The following is a 19,075-nucleotide window of genomic DNA, read 5'->3' as shown; positions in this document are numbered from 1 at the left end:
AAGGAAGTATCTTCACATAAAAACTAGACAGAAGAATTCAGAGAAACTTCTTTTTGATGTGTGCATTCATCTCACACAGTTGAAGCTTTCCTTTGATTGAGCAGTTTTGAATTTCTCATTTTGTAGAATGTGCAAGTGGACATTTGTAATGCTTTGAGGACTACGGTCAAAAGGAAATATCTTTAAATAAAAACTAGACAGAAGAATTCTGAGAAACTTCTTTGTGATGTGTGCCTTCATCTCGCAGAGTTGAAATTTTCTTTTGATTGAGCAGTATGGGAACACTTTTTTTGCAAAATCTGCAAGTGGACATTTGGACCGCTTTGCGGCCTATGGTAGAAAAGGAAATATCTTCTGATAAAATCTAGACAGAAACAATCTGAGAAACTTCTTTGTGAAGTGTGTATTCATCTCACAGAGTTAAACCTTTCTTTTGAGAGAGCAGTTTTGAAACCTCTTTTTGTAGAATCTGCAAGTGGACATTTGGGGCACTTTGAGGCCTATGGTGGAAAAAGAAATATCTTCACATAAAAACTAGACGAAAGAATTCTAAGAAACTCCTTCATGATGTGTACGTTCATCTCACAGAGTTGAAAATTTCTTTTGATTGAGCAGTTTGGAAACACTGTTTTTGTAGAATCTGCAATTGGATATTTGGGGTGCTGTGTGGCCTACGGGAGAATAGTAAATATCTTCACATAAAATCCAGACAGAAGCAATATGAGAAACTTCTTTGTGATGTGTGCAATCATCTCACCGAGTTAAACCTGTGTTTTGATTGAGCAGTTTTGAAACTCTCTTTTTGTAGAATCTGCAAGTGGGCAATTGGAGCGCTTTGCGGCCTATGTTAGAAATGGAAATATCGTCACATAAAATCTAGATAGAAGCAAGCAGAGCAACTTCTTTGTTAAGTGTGCATTTATCTCACAGAATTAAACCTTTCTTGTGATTGAGGAGTTTTGAAACTCTCTTTTTGTAGAATCTGTAAGTGGACATTTTGAGTGCTTTGAGGCCTATAGTGGAAAAAGAAATATGTTCACGTAAGAAGTAGACAGAAGAATTCTAAGAAACTTTTAGTGATGTGTGCTTTCAACTCACAGAGTTGAACCTTTCTTTTCAGTGAGCAGTTTGGAAACACTGTTTTTGTAGAATCTGCAAGTGGACATTTGGAGGGATTTGAAGCCTTTGGTAGAAAAGGAAATATATTCTCATAAAACCTAGACAGAAGCAATCTGAGAGACTTCTATTTGAGGTGTGCATCAATCTGACAGAGTTAAACCTTTCCTTTGATTGAGCAGTCTTGAAACTCTCTGTTTGTAGAATCTGTAAGTGGAAATTTGGAGCGCTTTGAGGCCTAATGTGGAAAAGGATATATCTTCACATAAAAACTAGACAGAAGAATTTGGAAAAACTTCTCTGTGATGCTCGCGTTCATCTCACAGAGTTGAACTTTTCTTTTGATTAAGCAGTTTGGAAACACTCTTTTTGTGGAATCTGCAAGTGGACATTTGGAGCGCTTTGACGCCTATGGTGGAAAAGGAAATATCTTCACATAAAAACTAGACAGAAGCATTCTGAGAAACTTCTTTGTTATGTGTGCATTCATCTCCCAGTGTTGGACCTTTCTTTCGATGGGCCAGTTTTGAAATACACCTTTTGTGGCATCTGCAAGTGGACATTTCGAGTGCCTTGAGGCCTATGCTGGAAATGAAAATATCTTCACATAAAAACTAGACAGAAGAATTCTGAAAAACTTCATTGTAATGTGTGCGTTCATCTCACAGATTTAACATTTTCGTTTGATTGAGCAGTTCTGAAACTCTCTTTTTGAAGATTCTGCAAGTGGACATCTGGAGGAATTTGCGGCCTGTGGTAGAAAATGAAATATCTTCACATAAAATCTAGACAGAAATAATCTGAGAAACTTCTTTCTGATGTGTGCATTTATCTAACGGAGTTAAACCTTTCTTTTTATTGAGCAATTTTGAAACTCTCTTTTTGTAGAATCTGCAACTGGATGTTGGGAGCAATTTGAGGCCTATGGTGAAAAAGGAAATATCTTCAAATAAAAGCAAGACAGAAGAATTCAGAGAAACTTCTTCATGATGTTTGCGTTTATCTCACAGAGTTGAACCTTTCTTTTCATGAGCAGTTTTGAAAAACTTTTTGTAGAATCTGCAAGTGGACATTTGCAGCCCTTTGAGGGGTATATTAAAAAAGGTAATATCTTCACATAAACACTAGACAGAAGAATTCTGAGAAACTTCTTTGTGATGGGTGCGTTCATCTCACAGAGTTGAACCTTTCTTTTGATTGAGCAGTTTGGAAACACTCTTTTTGTAGAATATGAAAGTGGACATTTGGAGCGCTTCGCGTCCCTAAGCAGAAAAGGAAATATCTTCACATAAAATCTAGACAGAAGCAATCTGAGAAACTTCTTTGTGATGTGCGTATTCCTCTCACAGAGTTAAACCTTTCTTTTGATAGAGGAGTTTTCAAACTCTCTTTTTGTAGAATCCGCAAGTGGACTTTTGGAGCACTTTGAGGCCTCTGTTGGAAAAGGAAATATCTTCACATAAAAACAAGACAGAAGAATTCTGAGAAAATTCTTTGTGATACGTGCATTCATCTCACAGAGTTGAACCCTTCTTTTGATAGAGCAGAATGGAAACACTCTTTTTGTAGAGTCTGCAAATGGACATTTGGAGCGCTTTTCGGCCAATGGCAGAAAAGGAAATATCTTCACAGAAAATCTAGACCGGAAGTCTGAGAAACTTCTTTGTGATGTGTGCATTTATCTCACAGTGTTAAACCTTTCTTTTGATTGAGCACTTTTGAAACTATTTTGGTAGAATCTGCAAGTGGACATTTGGAGCACTTTGAGGTCTGTTGTGGAAGAGGAAATATCCTCACATAAAAACTAGGCAGAAAAATTCTGAGAAACTTCTTGGTGATGGGTGCATTCATCTCACAGAGATGAACTTTTCTTTTGATGGAGCAGATTGGAAACACTCTTTTTGGAGAATCAGCAAAAGGATATTTGGAGCGCTTTGCAGCCTATGGCAGAAAAGGAAATATCTTCACATAAAATCTAGACAGAAGCAATATTAGAAACTTCTTTGTGATGTGTGCATTCATCTCACGGAGTTAAAACTTTCTTTTGATTGAGCTGTTTTGAAAATCTATTTTTGTAGAATCTGCAAGTCGACATTTGCAGCGCTTTGACGCCTATGGTGGAAAAGGAAATATCTTCACATAAAAACTAGATAGAAGCATTCTGAGAAACTTCTTTCAGATGGGTGCATTCATCTCCCTGAGTTGGACCTTTCTTTTGAAGGACCAGTTTAGAAATACGCTTTTTGTAGAATCTGCAAGTGGACATTTTGAGCGCCTTGAGGCCTATGGTGGAAAAGGAAATATCTTCACATAAAAACTAGACAGAAGAATTCTGAGAGAACTCTTTGTGATGTGTTCATCTCACAGAGTTGAAACTTTCTTTTGATTGAGAAGTTTTAAAACACTCTTTTTGTAGATTCTGCAAGTGAACATTTGTAGTGCTTTACGGCTTATGTTAGAAAAGGAAATATCTTCCCATAAAATCTAGACAGAAACAATCTGAGAAACTTCTTTGTGATGCATGCATTCATTTGGCGGAGTTAAACCTTTCTTTGATTGAGCAGTTTTGAAACTCTCTTTTTGTAGAATTTGAAAGTGGACATTTGGAGTGCTTTGAGGCCAATGGCAGAAAAGGAAATATCTTCACATAAAAAGTAGGCAGAAAAATTATGAGAAACTTCCATGTGATGTATCCATTCATCTCTCAGAGTTGAACCTTTCTTTTGATTGAACAGTTTGGAAACATTGTTTTTGTAGAATATGCAAGTGGACATTTGGAGCCCTTTGCGGCCTATGGCAGAAAAGGAAATATCTTCACATGAAATCTAGACAGAAGTCATCTGAGAAACTTCTTTGTGATGTGTGCATTCATCTCACAGACTTAAAACTTTCTTCTGATTGAGCAGTTTTTAAACTCTCTTTTTGTATAATCTGCACATGGACTTTTGGAGCGGTTAAAGGCTTATGGTGGAAAAGGAAGTATCTTCACGTAAAAACGAGACAGAAGAATTCTGAGAAACTTCTTTGTGATGTGTGTGTTCATCTAACTGAGTTGAACCTTTCTTTTCATTGAGCAGTTTGGAAAAACTCTTTTCTAGAAACTGTAAGTGGACACTTGGAGTGCTTTGGGGCCTGTGGTAGAAAAGGAAATATTTTCACATAAAATCTAGACAAAAACAATCTGAGAAACTTCTTTGTGATGTGTGCATTCATCTCACAGAGTTAAAACTTTCCTTTGATTGTGGTGCTTTGAAACTCTCCTTTTGTAGAATCTGCACGTGGACAAATGGAGCCCTTTGAGGCCTATGGTGGAAAAAGGAACATCTTCACATAAAAACTAGACAGAAGCATTCTAAGAAACTTCTTTATGATGTTTGCATTCAGCTCCCTGAGTTGAAACTTTCTTTTGAAGGACCAGTTATGAAATTCGGATTTCTGGAATCTGCAAGTGGACATTTCGAGCACCTTGAGGCCTATGGTGGAATAGGAAATATCTTCACATAAAATCTAGACAGAAACAATCTGAGAAACTTCTTTGTGATGTGTGCATTCATCTCACAGAGTTAAACCTTTGTTTTGATTAGGCTGTTTTGAAACTCTTTTTGTAGAATCTGCAAGTGGACATTTGGAGCGCTTTGAGGCCTATGGCGGAAAAGGAAATATCTTCACATAAAAACTAGACAGAAGAATTCTGAGAAACTTCTTTGTGATGTGTGCATTTATCTCATAGAGTTGAACCTTTCTTTTGATTGAGCAGTCTGGAAACATTCTTTTTGTAGGATCTGCAAGTGGACATTTTGTGTGCTTTGCGGCCTATGGTAAAAAAGGAAATATCTTCACATAAAATCTAGACAGAAGCAATCAGAGAAACAAGTTTGTGATGTGTGCCTTAATCTCACAGAGTTAACCCTTTCTTTTGAATGAGCAGTTTTGAAACTCTGTTTTTGTAGAATATGTGAGTGGACATTTGAAGCACTTTGAGGCCTGTGGTGGAAACGGAAATATCTTCACATCAAAACTAGATGGAAGCGTTCTGAGAAACTTCTTTGTGATAGGTGCATTCATCTCCCAGAGATGAAACTTTCTTTTGATTTACCGGTTCAGAAATACTCTTTGCAGAATCTGCAATTGGGCATTTCGAGCACTTTGAGGCCTATTATGGAAAATGAAATATCTTCACATAAAAACTAGAGAGAGTAATTCCGAGTAACTTCTTTGTAATGTGCGTTTTCATCCTACAAATTCGAATCTTTCTTTTGATTGAGCAGTTTGGAAACACTCTTTTAGTAGAATTTGCAAGTGGACATGTGAAGCGATTTGTAGCTTATGGTAGAAAACGAAATATGTTCACATAAAATCTAGACAGAAGCAATCTGAGAAACTTCTTTGTGATGTGTGCATTCATCTCACAGAGTTAAACATTTCTTTTCATTGTACAGTTTTAAAACTCTCTTTTTGTGGAATCTGCAAGTGGACCTTTGGAGCACTTTAAAGCCTATGGTGGAAAAGGAAATATCTCCACATAAAAACTAGACAGAAGAAGTCTGAGAAATTTCTCTGTGATGCGTGCGTTCATATCACAGAGTTGAAACTTTCTTTCGATTGTGCAGTTTGGAAAAACACTTCATGTAGAATCTGCACGTGGTCATTTTGTGCACATTGGGAACTATGGTAGAAAAGGAAATATCTTCACATAAAATCTAGACAGAAGCAATCAGAGAAACATCATTTTGATGTGTGCATTCATCTTACAGAGCTAAACCTTTTTTTATAGAGCAGTTTTGAAACTCTGTCTCTGTAGATCCTGAAAGTGGACATTTGAAGCGCTTTGCCACCAATGGTAGAAAAGTAAATATCTTCACAGAAAATCTAGACAGAAGCAGTCTGAGAAACTTCTTTGTGATGTGTGCGTTCATCTCACAGAGTTAAATCTTCCTTTTGATTGAGCATTTTTGAAACTCTCTTTTTGTAGAATCTACAAGTGGACATTTGGAGTGCTGTGATGCCTATGGTGAAAAAGGAAATATCTTCACATAAAAACTAGACAGATGCATTCTCAGAAACTTCTTTGTGATGTTTGCATTCAACTCACAGAGGTGAACATTCCTTTACAAAGAGCAGTTTTGAAACACTCTTTTTGTTGAAATTGCAAGTGGATATGTGGAGATCTCTGAGGCCTTCGGTGGAAACGGGAATATTTTCACGTAAAAACTAGACAGAAGCATTCTCAGAAACTCCTTTGTGATGTGTGCATTCAACTCACAGAGTTGAACCTACCTTTTGATAGAGCAGCTTTGAAACACTCTTTTTGTAGAATCTGCAAGTGGATATTTGGAGCGCTTTGAGGTCTGTGTTGGAAAAGGAAATATCTTCACATAAAAACTAGACACAAGCATTCTCAGAATCTTTTCTGTGACGTGTGCATTAAACTCACAGAGTTCAACATTTCTTTTGATAGAGCAGTTTTGAAACACTCGATTTGAAGAATCTGCAAGTGGACATTTTGAGCACTTTGATGCCTATGGTGAAAAAGGAAATATCTTCACATGAAAACTAGACAGAAACATTCTCAGAAACTTCTTTGTGATATTTGCATTCAACTCACAGAGTTGAACATTCCCTTACATAGAGAAGTTTTGAAACCGTCTTTTTGTAGAATCTGCAAATGTATATGTGGAGCTCTTTGAGGCCTTCGGTGGAAACGGGAAATTCTTCACATAAAAGCAAGACAGAAGCACTCTCAGAAACTTTTTTGTGATGTGGTGCATTCAACTCACGGAGTTGAACCTTCCTTTTGATAGAGCAGTTTTGAAACACTCTATTTGTAGAATCTGCAAGTGAACAATTGGAGCACTTTGAGGCCTGTGGTGGAAAAGGAAATATCTTCATATTAAAACTAGACAGAAGCATTCTCAGAAACTTCTTTGTGATGTGTGCATTCAATTCAGAGAGTTAAACCAACCTTTTGATAGAGCAGTTTTGAAACACTCCTTTTGTAGAATCTGCAACTGTATATATGGAGCCCTTTGAGGACTATGGTAGAAAAGGAAATGTCTTCATATAAAAACTAGACAGAAGCATTCTCAGAAATTTCTTTGTGATGTGGCATTCAAGTCACAGAGTTGGACCATCCTCTTCATAGAGCAGTTTTGAAACAGTCTTTTTGTAGAATCTGCAGGTAGATATTTGGAGCGTTTGGAGGCCTATGGTGGAAAAGGAAATATCTTCACATAAAGAGTAGAAAGAAGCATTTTCAGAAACTCCTTTGCTATGTGTCCATTAAACTCAGAGTGCTGAACCTTCCTTTTGATAGAGCAGTTTTGAAACACTCTTTTTGTAGAATCTGCAAGTGGACATTTGGAGCGCTTTGAGGTATATGGTAGAAAAGGAAATATCTTCATATAATAACTAGACAGAAGCATTCTCAGAAACTAATTTATGATGTGTGCATTCAACTCAGACGGTTGAAACTTTCTTTTGATAGAGAAGTTCTGAAACGCTCTTTTTGTAGAGTCTGCAAGTGGATAATTGGAGTGCTTTGAGGCCTAAGCTGGAAACGGGAATATCTTCACATAAAAACTAGACAGAAGCATACTTAGAAACTTCTTTGTGATGTTTGCATTCAACTCAGAGAGTTGAACTTTCCTTTTGATGGAGCAGTTTTGAAATACTCTTTTTGTAGAATCTGCAATTGGATATTTGGAGCGATTTGAGTCCTATGGTAGAAAAGGAAATGTCTTCATATAAAAACTAGACACAGGTATTCTCAGAAACTGCATTGTGATGTTTGAATACAACTCACAGAGTTGAAACTTTCTTTTGATAGAGCAGTTTTGAAACACACTTTTTGTAGAATCTGCAAGTGGATATGTGGAGCTCTTTCAGGCCTATGGTAGAAGGGGAATACCTTCACATAAAAAAGAGACAGAAGCATTCTCTGAAACTTCTTTGTGATGTGTCCATTCAACTCAGAGAGTTGAGCCTTACTTTTGATAGAGTAGTTTTGAAACACTCTTTTTGTAGAATCTGCAAGGGGATATTTGGAGTGCTTTTAAGTCTGAGGTAGAAAAAAATATCTTCATATAAAATCTAGACAAAAGCATTCTCAGAAACTTCTTTGTGATGTGTGCACTCAAGTCACAGTGTTGAACATCTCTTTTGATAGAGTAGCTTTGAAACACTCTTTTTGTAGAATCTGCAAGTGGACATTTGGAGGGCTTTGAGGCCTGTGGTGGAAAAGGAAATATCTTCACATAAAAACTAGACAGAAGCACTCTCAGAATCTTCTTTGTGATGTGTGCGCTCAACTCACGGAGTTGAACCTTCCCTTTCATAGAGTAGTTTTGAAACACTCTTTTTGTAGTATCTGCAAGTGGACATTTGGAAAGCTTTGAGGCCTGTGGTGGAGAAGGAAATATCTTCACATAAAAACTAGACGGAAGCATTCTCAGAAACTTCTTAGTGATGTTTGCATTCAACTCACAGAGTTGAACATTGCTTTTGATAGAGCAGATTGGAAACACTCTTTTTGTAGAATCTGCAAGTGGATATTTGGAGCGCCTTCAGGCCTCTGGTGGAAATGGAAATATCTTCACATAAAAACTAGACAGAAGCATTCTCAGACACTTCCTTGTGATGTGTGAATTCAAGTCACAGTGTTGAACCATCCTTTTCATAGAGTAGTTTTGAAACAGTATTTTGGAGAATCTGCAAGTGGATATTTGGAACGTTTTGAGGCGTATGGTGTAAAAGGAAATATCTTCACATAAAAAGTAGACAGGAGCACTCTCAGAAACTTCTTTGTGATGTGTGCATTCAACTAACAGAGTTGAACCTTTCTTTTGATAGAGCAGTTTTGAAACACTCTTTTTGTAGTATCTGCAAGCGGATATGTGGAGCTCTTTGAGGCCTACAATGGAAACGGGAATACCTTCACATAAAAACGAGACAGAAGCATTCTCATAAACTTCTTTGGGATGAGTCCATTCAACTCAGAGAGTTGAACATTCCTTTTGATAGAGCAGTTTTGAAACACTCTTTTTGTAGAATCTGCAAGTGAATATTTGGACTGATTTGAGGCTGTCAGTGGAAATTGGAATATCTTCACATAAAAACTAGATAGAAGCATTCTCAGAAACTTCTTTGTGATGCGTGCATTCAACTCACAGCGTTGAACATTCCTTTTGATAGAGTAGTTTTGAAACCCTCTTTTTGTACAATCTGAATGTGGACATTTGGGGAGGTTTGAGGCCTGTGGTAGAAAAGGAAATATCTTCACATAAAAACAACACAGAAGCATTCTGAGGAACTTCTTTTTGATGTGTGCATTCAACTCACAGAGTTGAATCTTTCTTTGATAGAGCAGTTTTGAAACACTCTTTTCGTAGAATCTGCAAGTGGACATTTGGAGTGCTTTAAGTTCTGTGTCGGAAAACGCAATATCTTCACATAAAAACTAGACAGAAACATTCTCAGAAACTTCTTGGTGACGTGTGCATTCAACTCACAGAGTTGAACCTTTCTTTTGATAGAGCAGTTTTGGAGCACGCTTTTTGTAGAATCTGCAAGTGGACATTTGGAGTGCTTTGAGGCCTGTTGTGGAAAAGGAAATATCTTCACATAAAAACTAGGCAGAAGCATTCTCAGAAACTTCTTTGTGATGTGTCCATTCAACTCACAGAGTTGAAACTTTTATTTGATAGAGCAGTTTTTAAAAACTCTTTTTGTAGAATCTGCAAGTGGATATTTGGAGCGCCATGAGGCCTATGATGGAAAAAAAAATTATCCTCACATGAAAACCAGACAGAAGCATTCTCAGAAACTTTTTTGTGTTGTGTGTATTCAACTCACACAGTTAAACATTTCTTTTGATAGAAGAGGTTTGAAACACTCTTTTTGTAGAAAGTGGAAGTGGATATTAGGAGCGCTTTGAGGACTATATTGGAAAAGGAAACATCTTCACAAAAAACCAGACAGAAGCATTCTCAGAAACCTCTTTGTGATGTGTGCATACAACTCACAGAGTTGAACCTTTCTTTTCATTGAGCAGTTTTCAAACACTCTTTTTGTAGAAACTGCAAGTGGATATTTGGATCGTTTGAGGCCTATGGTGGAAAAGGAAATATCCTCAAAAAAAAAACCAGACAGAAGGATTCTCAGAAAATTCCTTGTGTTGTTTGTATTCAACCCACAGAGTTTAAACTTTTCTTTGATTGGGCAGTTTTGAAACACTCTTTTTCTAGAATCTGTAGGTGGATATTTGGAGTGCTTCGATGACTACGGGAGAAGAGGAAATGTCTTCATATAAAAACTAGACAGAAACATTCTCAGAAACTTCCTTGTGACGTGTGCATTAAATAACAGTGTTGAACCATTGTTTAGAAGAGCATTTTGGAAACACTTCTTTTTTTTAGAAAATGCAAGTGGATATTTGGAGCGCTTTGTGGCCTATGGTGGAAAAGAAAATATCTTCACATAAAAACTAGACAGAAGTATTCTCAGCAACTTCTTTGTGATGAGTTCATTCAATTCAGATAGTTGAACATTTCTTTCGTAGAGCAGTTTTGAAACACTCTTTTTGTAGAATCTGCAAGTGGATATTTGGAGCACACTGAAGCCTATGGTGGAAAAGGAAATATCTTCACTTAAAAGCTAGACAGAAGCATTCTCAGAAACTTCTTTGTGATGTGTGCATTCAACTCACAGAGTTGAACCTTTCTTTGATTGAGCAGTTTTGAAGCACTCTTTTTGTAGAATCTGCAATTGGATATTTGGAGCTCTTTGATGCCTATGGTGGGAAAGGAAATATCCGCATATAAAAAGTAGACAGCAGCATTCTCAGAAAGTTGTTTGTGTTGTGTGCATTCAACTCACAGAGTTGAACCTTTCCTTTGATTGAGCAGTTTTGAAAAAGTCTTTTTGTAGAATCTGCAAGTGGATATTTGGAGCAGTTTGAGGCCTATGGTGTAAAAGGAAATATCTTCACATGAAAACTAGACAGAAGCATTCTCAGAAACTTCTTTGTGATGAGTTCATTCAATTCACATAGTTGAACATTTCTTTTGATAGAGTAGTTTTGAAACACTCTTTCTGTAGAATCTACAAGTGGATATTTGGAGCACATTGAAGCCTATGATGGAAAAGGAAATATCTTCACATACAAACTAGACAGAAGCATTCTCAGAAACTTCTTTGTATTGTGTGCATTCAACTCACAAAGTTGAACTTTTCCTATGGTTGAGCAGTTTTGAAACACTCTTTCTGAAGAATCTGCAAGTGGATATTTGGAGTGCTTTGAGGTCTATGGTGGAAAAGAAAACACCTTCACAAAAAAATTAGAGCAGAAGCATTCTCAGAAACTTCTTTGTGATGTGTGCATTCAACTCACAGAGTTGAACCTTTCTTTGATAGAGCAGTTTTGAAACACTCTTTTTGTTTCTGCAATTGGATATTTGGAGCTCTTTGATGCCTATGGTGGAAAAGGAAATATCCACACATAAAAACTAGACAGCAGCATTCTCAGAAACTTGTTTGTGTTGTGTGCATTCAACTCACAGAGTTGAAACTTTCCTTTGATTGAGCAGTTTTGAAAAAGTCCTTTTGCAGAATCTGCAAGTGGATATTTGGAGCGTTTGAGGCCTATGGTGTAAAAGGAAATATCTTCACATAAAAACTAGACAGAAGCATTCTCTGAAACTTCTTTGTGATGTGTGCATTCAAGTCACAGAGTTGAACCTTTCTTTTGTAGAGCAGTTTTGAAACACTCTTTTTGTAGAATCTGCAAGTAGATATATGGAGCGCTTTGAGGCTTACGATGGAAAAGGAAATATCCGCACATAAAAAGTAGACAGCAGCATTCTCAGAAACTTGTTTGTGTTGTGTGCATTCAACTCACAGAGTTGAAACTTTCCTTTGATTGAGCAGTTTTGAAAAAGTCCTTTTGCAGCATCTGCAAGCGGATATTTGGAGCGTTTGAAGCCTATGGTGTAAAAGGAAATATCTTCACATAACAACTAGACAGAAGCATTCTCTGAAACTTCTTTGTGATGTGTGCATTCAAGTCACAGAGTTGAACCTTTCTTTTGTAGAGCAGTTTTGAAACTCTCTTTTTGTAGAATCTGCAAGTAGATATATGGAGCGCTTTGAGGCTTACGGTGGAAAAGGAAATATCTTCACATAAAAACTAGACAGAAGCATTCTCAGAAACTTCTTTGTGATAAGTGCATTCAACTCACAGAGTTGAACATTTCTGTTGATAGAGCAGTTTTAAAACACTCTTTTTCTAGAATCTGAAAGTGGATATTTGGAGTGCTTTGAGGCCTCTGGTGGAAAAGGAAATATCTTCACATAAAAACTAGACGGAAGCATTCTCAGAAATATCTTTGTGATGAGTGCACTCAACTCACGGAGTTGATCATTTCTTTGATAGAGGAGTTTTAAAACACTCTTTTTCTGGAATCTCAAAGTGGATATTTGGAGCGCTTTAAGGCCTATGGTGGAAAAGGAAACACCTTCACAAAAAAACTAGAGCAGAAGCATTCTCAGAAACTTCTTTGTGATGTGTGCATTCAACTCACAGAATTGAACCTTTCTTTGATAGAGCAGTTTTGAAACACTATTTTTGTAGAATCTGCAATTGGATATTTGGAGCGCTTTGATGCCTATGGTGGAAAAGGAAATATCCACACATAAAATCTAGACAGCAGCATTCTCAGAAACTTGTTTGTGTTGTGTGCATTCAACTCACAGAATTGAAACTTTTCTTTGATTGAGCAGTTTTAAAAAAGTCTTTTTGTAGAATCTGCAAGTGGATATTTGGAGCAGTTTGAGGCCTATGGTGTAAAAGGAAATATCTTCACATAAAAACTAGACAGAAGCATTCTCAGAAACTTCTTTGGGATGTGTGCATTCAACTCACAGAGTTGAACCTTTCTGTTGATAGAGCAGTTTTGAAACAGTCTTCTTCCAGTGTCTGCAAGTTGTTATTAAGAGTGCTTACTGGCCTATGGTGGAAAAGGAAATATCTTCACAGAAAAACTAGACAGAAGCATTCTCAGAAACTTCTTTGTGATAAGTGCATTCAACTCACAGAGATAAACCTTTCTGTTGATAGAGCAGTTTTAAAACACTCTTTTTCTGGAATCGGAGAGTGGATATTTGGAGCGCTTTGAGGCCTATAGTGGAAAAGGAAACACCTTCACAAAATAACTAGAGCAGAGGCATTCTCAGAAACTTCTTTGTGATTTGTGCATTCAACTCACAGAGTTGAACCTTTCTTTGATAGAGCAGTTTTGAAACACTCTTTTTGTAGAATCTGCAATTGGATATTTGGAGCTCTTTGATGCCTATGGTGGGAAAGGAAATATCCGCACATATAAACTAGACAGCAGCATTCTCAGAAACTTGTTTGTGTTGTGTGCATTCAACTCACAGAGTTGAACCTTTCTTTCATAGAGCAGTTTTGAAACACTCTTTTTGTAGAATCTGCAAGTAGATATTTGGAGCGCTTTGAGGCTTATGGTGCAAAAGGAAATATCTTCACATACAAACTAGACAGAAAAATTCTCAGAAACTTCTTTGTGATGAGTGCATTCAACTCACAGAGTTGGACATTTCTGTTGATAGAGCAGTTTTAAAACACTCTGTTTCTGGAATCCGAAAGTGGATATTTGGAGCGCTTTGAGGCCTATGTTGGAAAAGGAAATATCTTCACATAAAAACTAGACAGAAGCATTCTCAGAAACTTTTTTGTGATGTGTGTATTCAACTCACAGCGTTGAACCTTTCTTTTGATAGAGCAGTTTTGAAACCCTCTTTTTTTTACAATCTGCAAGTGGAAACTAGGAGCATTTTGTGGCCTATGATGGAAAAGGGCATATCTTCACATAAAAACTAGACGGAAGCATTCTCAGAAACTTCTTCGTGATGAGTATATTCAACTCACAAAGTTGAACTTTTCCTTTGATAGAGGAGTTTTGAAACACACTTTTGGTAGAATCTGCAAGTGGATTTTGGAGCGCTTGGAGGCCTGTGTTGAAAAGGAAATGTCCTCATATAAAAACTAGACAGAAGCATTCTCAGAAACTTCTTTGTGCTAGGTGCATTCAACTCACATAGTTGAACCTTTCTATTGATAGAGCAGTTTTGAAACACTCTTTTTGTAGTATCTGCGAGTGATTATTTGGAGTGCTTTGAGGCCTATGGTGGAAATGGAAATATCTTCAAATAAAAACTAGGCAGAAGCATTGTCAGAAACTTATTTGTGTTGTGTGCATTCACCTCACAGAGTTGTACTTTTCCTTTGATTTAGCAGTTTTGAAAAAGTCTTTTTGTAGTATCTGCAAGTGGATATTTGGAGCACTTTGAGGCCTATGGTGGAAAGGAAACACCTTCACAAAAAAACTGGAGCAGAAGCATTCTTAGAAACTCCTTTGTGATGTGTGCATTCAACTCACACTATTGAAACTTTCTTTAGATAGATCAGTTTTGAAACACACTTTTTGTTGAATCTGCAATTGGATATTTGCAGTGCTTTGAGGCCTATGGTTGAAAAGCAAATATCCTCACGTAAAAACTAGACAGAAGCATTCTCAGAGACTTGTTTGTGTTGTGTGAATTCAACGCACAGAGTTGAACCATTCCTTTGATTGAGCAGTTTTGGAACACTGTTTTTGTACAATCCGCCAGTGGATATTTGATGCGCTTTGATGACTATGGTGTAATAGGAACTATCTTTACATAAAAACTAGACAGATGCATTCTCAGAATCTTTCTTGTCATATGTGCATTCAACTCGCAGTGTTGAACCTTTGTTTTGAAGAGCAGTTTTGAAACACTTTTTTTTTAGGATCTGCAGGTGGATATTTGGAGTGCTTTGTGGCCTATGGAGGAAAACAAAATATCTTCACATAAAAAGTTGACAGAAACATTCTCAGAAACTACTTTGTGATGAGTGCATTCTATTCAAAGAGTTGAACGTTTCTTTTTATAGAGCAATTTTGAAACACTCTTTTCGTAGATTCTTCAAATGGATTCTGGAGCGATTTGAGATTTGAGGCCTATGTTGGAAAAGTAAATATCCTCACATAAAAACTTGACTGAAGCATTCTCAGAAACATCTTTGTGTTGTGTGCATTCAACTCACTGAGTTGAATATTTCCTTTGATTGAGTAGTTTTGAAACACTCTTTTTGTAGAATCTGTAAGTGGATATTTGGAGCGATTTGAGGCCTATGGTGGAAAAGATAATATCTTGACATAAAAACTAGACGGAAGCATTGTCAGAAACTTCTTTTTGATGTGAGCATTCACATCACAGAGTTGAAGATTCTTTTTTTGGATAGAGTAGTTTTGACGCACTCTTTCTAGAATCTGAATGTGGATATTTGGAGCGTTTTGAGGCCTATGGTGAAAAAGGCAATATCTTCACATAAAAATTAGGAGCATTCTCAGAAACTTCTTTGAGATGTGTGCATTCAACTCACAGAGCTGGTACTTTCTGTTCATAGATCAGTTTTGAAACACTCTTTCTGTAGAATCTGCAAGTGGATATTTGGTGGATTTGAGGCCTTTGGCAGAAAAGGAAATATCTTCACATAAAAACTGGACAGATGCATTCTCAGAAACTTCTTGGTGATAAGTCCATTCAACTCAGAGAGTTGAACCTTCCTTTTGATAGAGCAGTTTTGAAACACTCTTTTTTTAGAATCTGCAAGTGCATATTTGGAGCGCTTTGAGGCCTATGGTGGTAAAGGAAATATCTTCACATAAAAACTAGAGAGAAGCATTCTCCGAAACTTCTTTGTGATGAGTGAATTCAACGCACAGAGCTGAACCTTTCTTTTGATAGAGCAGTTTTGAAACACTCTTTTTGTAGGATCTGCAAGTAGATATTTGGAGTGCTCTGAGGCCTATGGTGGAAAAGGAAATATCATCATATAAAAACTAGACAGAAGCATTCTCAGAAACTTCTTTGTGTTGTGTGTATTCAACTCACAGAGTTGAAATTTTCCTTTGATTGAGCAGTTTTGAAACACTCTTTTTGTAGAATCTGCAAGTGGATATTTGGAGTGCTTTGAGGCCTATGGTGGAAAAGGAAACACCTTCACATAAAAAGTAGAGCAGAAACATTCTTAGAAACTTCTTTCTGATGTGTTCATTCATCTCACAAAGATGAACCTTTGTTTTGTTAGAGCAGTTTTGAAACACTCTTTTTGTGGAATCTGCAAGTGGATATTAAGAGCGCTTTGAGGCCTATGGTGGAAAAGGAAACACCTTCACATAAAAAGTAGAGCAGAAACATTCTTAGAAACTTCTTTCTGATGTGTTCATTCATCTCACAAAGATGAACCTTTCTTTTGTTAGAGCAGTTTTGAAACACTCTTTTTGTGGAATCTGCAAGTGGATATTTAGAGCGCTTTGAGGCCTATGGTGGGAAAGGAAATATCTTCACATAAAAACTAGACAGAAGCATTGTCAGAAACTTCTTTGTGATATGTGCATTCAACTCACAGTGTTGAACATTTTTTTGATAGAGAAGTTTTGAAATACTCTTTTTCTAGAAACTGAATGTGGATATTTGGAGTGCTTTGAGGCCTATGGTGGAAAAGGAAATATCCTCACATAAAAACTAGACAGAAGCATTCTCAGAAACTTTTTGGTAGTGTGCGCATTCAACTCACAGAGTTGAAATTTTCTGTTGATAGAGTAGTTTTGAAACACTCTTTTTCTTTTTTTTATTTTCATTTATTTATTATTATTGTACTTCAAGTTTTAGGGTACATGTGAACAATGTGCAGGTTAGTTACATATGTATACATGTGACATGCTGGTGCGCTGCAACCACTAACTCGTCATCTAACATTAGGTATATCTCCCAATGCTATCCCTCCCCCCTCCCCCCAACCCAAACAGGCCCTAGTGTGTGATGTTCCTCTTCCTGTGTCCATGTGTTCTCATTGTTCAATTACCACCTATGAGTGAGAATATGCAGTGTTTGGCTTTTTGTTCTTGCGATAGTTTACTGAGAATGATGATTTCCAATTTCATCCATGTCCCTACAAAGGACGTGAACTCATCATTGTTTATGGCTGCATAGTATTCCATGGTGTATATGTGCCACATTTCCTTCATCCAGTCTATCATTGTTGGACATTTGGGTTGGTTCCAAGTCTTTGCTATTGTGAATAATGCCGCAAAAAACATACATGTGCATGTGTCTTTATAGCAGCATGATTTATAGTTCTTTGGGTACATACACAGTAATGGGATGGCTGGGTCAAATGGTATTTCTAGTTCTAGATCACTGAGGAATCGCCACACTGACTTCCACAATGGTTGAACTAGTTTATAGTCCCACCAACAGTGTAAAAGTGTTCCTATTTCTCCACATCCTCTCCAGCACCTGTTGTTCCCTGACTTTTTAATGATTGCCATTCTCACTGGTGTGAGATGGTATCTCATTGTGGTTTTGATTTGAATTTCTCCGATGGCCAGTGATGGTGAGCATTTTTTCATGTGTTTTTTGGCTGCATAAATGTCTTCTTTTGAGAAGTGTCTATTCATGTCCTTCACCCACTTTTTGATGGGGTTGTTTGTTTTTTTCTTGTAAATTTGTTTGAGTTCATCATAGATTCTGGATATCAGCCCTTTGTCAGAAGAGTAGGTTGTGAAAATTTTCTCCCATTTTGTAGGTTGCCTGTTCACTCTGATGGTAGTTTCTTTGCTGTGCAGAAGCTCTTTAGTTTAATTAGATCCCATTTGTCAATTTTGTCTTTTGTTGCCATTGCTTTTGGTGTTTTAGACATGAAGTCCTTGCCCATGCCTATGTCCTGAATGGCAATGCCTAGGTTTCCTTCTAGGGTTTTTATGGTTTTAGGTCTAACATTTAAGTCTTTAATCCATCTTTAATTGATTTTTGTATAAGGTGTAAGGAAGGGATCCAGTTTCAGCTTTCTACATATGGCCAGCCAGTTTTCCCAGTAGCATTTATTAAATAGGGAATCCTTTCCTCATTGATTGTTTTTCTCAGGTTTGTCAAAGATCAGATAGTTGTAGATATGCGGCATTATTTCTGAGGGCTCTGTTCTGTTCCATTGATCTATATCTCTGTTTTGGTACCAGTACCATGCTGTTTTGGTTACTGTAGCCTGTAGTATTGTTTGAAGTCAGGTAGTGTGATGCTTCCAGCTTTGTTCTTTTGGCTTAGGATTGACTTGGTGGTGCGGGCTCTTTTTTGGTTCCGTATGAACTTTAAAGTACTATTTTCCAATTCTGAGGAGAAAGTGATTGGTAGCTTGATGGAGATGGCATTGAATCTGTAAATTACCTTGGGCAGTATGGCCATTTTCACGATATTGATTCTTCCTATCCATGAGCATGGAATGTTCTTCCATTTGTTTGTATCCTCTTTTATTTCCTTGAGCAGTGGTTTGTATTTCTCCTTGAAGAGGTCCTTCACATCCCTTGTAAGTTGGATTCCTAGGTATTTTATTCTCTTTGAAGCAATTGTGAATGGGAGTTCACTCATGATTTGGCTCTCTGTTTGTCTGTTGTTGATGTATAAGAATACTTGTGATTTTTGTACATTGATTTTGTATCCTGAGAATTTGCTGAAGTTGCTTATCAGCTTAAGGAGATTTTGGGCTGAGACAATGGGGTTTTCTAGATATACAAACATGTCGTCTGCAAACAGGGACAATTTGACTTCCTCTTTTCCTAATTGAATATCCTTTATTTCCTTCTCCTGTCTAATTGCCCTGGCCAGAGCTTCCAACACTATGTTGAATAGGAGTGGTGAGAGAGTGCATCCCTATCTTGTGCCAGTTTTCAAAGGGAATGCTTCCAGTTTTTGCCCATTCAGTATGATATTGGCTGTGTGTTTGTCATAGATAGCTCTTATTATTTTGAAATACGTCCCATCAATACCTAATTTATTGAGAGTTTTTAGCATGAAGTGTTGT

Source organism: Homo sapiens, unplaced genomic scaffold (genome assembly GCF_000001405.40).
Source record: "Homo sapiens unplaced genomic scaffold, GRCh38.p14 Primary Assembly HSCHRUN_RANDOM_124".
Taxonomy (NCBI): domain Eukaryota; kingdom Metazoa; phylum Chordata; class Mammalia; order Primates; family Hominidae; genus Homo; species Homo sapiens.
This window is presented reverse-complemented; position numbering follows the sequence as displayed.